Below are 2445 nucleotides of genomic sequence, written 5' to 3'. Positions count from 1 at the left end.
CATTACTAGGACTTTTAGAAGGTCACTTCTGTGTTTGCCTTTGTTTTAATAGCCTCAAATCTCCCAAAAATATATCCTATTTGGTTTCCAGTATCAATTTAAAGTCTTTCTGGGAAAAGATAAGGTCAAAATTCAAAATTTATTTTAAAATCCTTATTTCTAGACTTGTAACGAGTTGATTGCTTTGATTTTAAGTAAGCAAATCTAGTTAATTAGCTTTTTAAAAATAAAAAAGGTCCATTTTTAACTCAATGTTGGTTCATATCAGATACAACCAGCCTTGTATTGACAATTGGTTGAATATAAAATATTATATTAATAACAACAGATACTACAGTTGATCTTAGCCAAAAGGCCGAGAAGTGATGAATATACAGTATTGAGTATTGTATTGCATACTGGTTGAATAACCAACCCTGCACAATCATATTTTTTAAAAAGAATCCTTACATTCTAATGGTACTTTAAAAAATTTTAGGCTTGGGGCAGTGGCTTTATGCCTGTAATCCAATCCTTTTGGGAGGCCAAGTGGGGAGGATAATTTGAGCCCAGGAGTTAGAGACTAGCCTGGGCAACACAGTGAGACCCTGTCTCTACTAAAAAACATATTTTTAAATGTATCTACAGAAAGTCCCCCCAAGCTCAATCAATGTTTATGTAGAGTATTAATATACCACTCCCCACAAATAAGTTTCTAAGTCAAAGGTATTGTCAGAAGTTCAAAAGACTGGACCACTCAGTGCTTTGTGATATTATTTTGATGATTTTTTGACTGCATTCCATTCCAAAAACTAATTTACTTTGAGTAGAAGCAGAGTTAATAAAGTATGCAAAAATACTAATCTGGCTTATTTAAGTAGTCTAGTGACATATCTGAGAAAAATTTTGTGTGAGATTCAATAAAAGCTGAGATTTAAAGAACAGGTTACTGCTGGTCTCCCCAAGTTAACATAGTTTACCTGAGATATACACAAAATTAACTTTTATCCATCTCTCTCTCTCTCTTTTTTTTTAAGTATTTGCTTGAGGCATAATCATAATCAACTTCTAAAGTTACATTTTACTTGATTTGTTGTCCCAAATGTAGACAAAAAAATCCATAAATAGACACAGGCACAGTGGCTCATGCCTGGAATCCCAACACTTTGGAAGGCTGAGGCTGGAGGAGCCCAGGAGTTCCAGACCAGCGTAGGCAACATAGCAATACTCTGTATCTAAAAAATCTGTTTAAAAATGTTTCAAAAATATTTTTAAACATAAATATGAAGATTTCTGTTGTTAACAAAGTAATGGGTAGTCATTTTACATGAACTTTAATAAAACAATAATAGATGAACTGTGTTGTGCGTTCTATGGTGACTAGAGGAAAATATAATCATTTTGGGGAATGCCAATGCATGAACTCCTCAGGAGTAGGCACTCTTCCATTAATCCTCCCAGATTTTCAGTTCCCTTTTCTGAACACTCGTCTTTAGTCTCCGCGGGTTCTTCCACCATCAGCCCCTCCCCACAACGTAAAATGTGCATACTTCAGGGCTCTATCCTTTACCCTCTTATTCCACATAATATCCCTGGAGAAAATAATCACATTTTAACTTCAATCACTAAATGCTTAATCCAAATTTCTATCTTCATCTCAGACTTTTTCCCTTTAGTTCCAGACCCACATGTCCAACTACTTATGGGACCTCCCAACATATATGACAGGCTTCTCAAACTGAACACATCTACCCCACTTCTTAAACTCCTCAATTTTTTTTTCTTCTTTAGAGTTCAATGAATAACAGAACAATCCACTCTATCACCCCACTGTCATCCCTGGCTTCTCCTTCCTCATCTCCTGTATCACCAAGATCTGCCAATTCTACCTTTTTTCGTGGCCCCTCCTTCTTATTCCCACCATCGCTCTCCTAGTTCTCTTCATTTCTTCACTGAGCTTCAACAACATCTCCAATTTTTTGGTCTCTCATTTAAGCTCTCTACCAATCTGTCATTTGAGTGTTGCCAGTGATCCTTTCCAAATGCAAAACTGATCCAGTCACTGACCCAAATCCTCCTTATTACCTTTAAGGAAAATAAACTCATGGTCCTTAGGTTCCTTCTGATTTGGCCCACATTTGCCTTTCTGGCCTTACTTCCTCCCATTTTCTGCTAATACACGTGAAGAAGTATTCTCCAGTTCAGCCACAATAAACCAAGGCTTGCTTGTTCTCCCAGCCTTCGTGCCTCAGCCCAGGCTGTTCTGCTTCAGAAGCACCTGGTCATTTCCTGTTCACCCTTTATGACATGCAATTCCAGAGCTCAGGAAGTACCTAACACATTGTGAATGTGGTATCAATGTCTGCTCTATGCCTAAGTCAATAACAGCCTTTTATATTAAAAAAGTTCATTACGACATACAAGATATTTTCATTCATAATCTATAATAACATTTATCTTGATTCT

General features: G+C 36.6%; 1 pseudogene; it reads right to left on the bottom strand.

Annotated features, from left to right (window-relative positions):
- Window positions 1-230: 230 nt before the first annotated feature.
- On the bottom strand, window positions 231-367 carry LOC124905317 (uncharacterized; annotated as a pseudogene).
- Window positions 368-2445: the final 2078 nt, after the last annotated feature.

The sequence above is a fragment of the Homo sapiens genome, assembly GCF_000001405.40.
Source record: "Homo sapiens chromosome 14 unlocalized genomic scaffold, GRCh38.p14 Primary Assembly HSCHR14_CTG2_UNLOCALIZED".
Taxonomy (NCBI): domain Eukaryota; kingdom Metazoa; phylum Chordata; class Mammalia; order Primates; family Hominidae; genus Homo; species Homo sapiens.
Note: the sequence above shows the minus strand (reverse complement) of the source record. Positions and strands in the feature narration are given on the sequence as shown.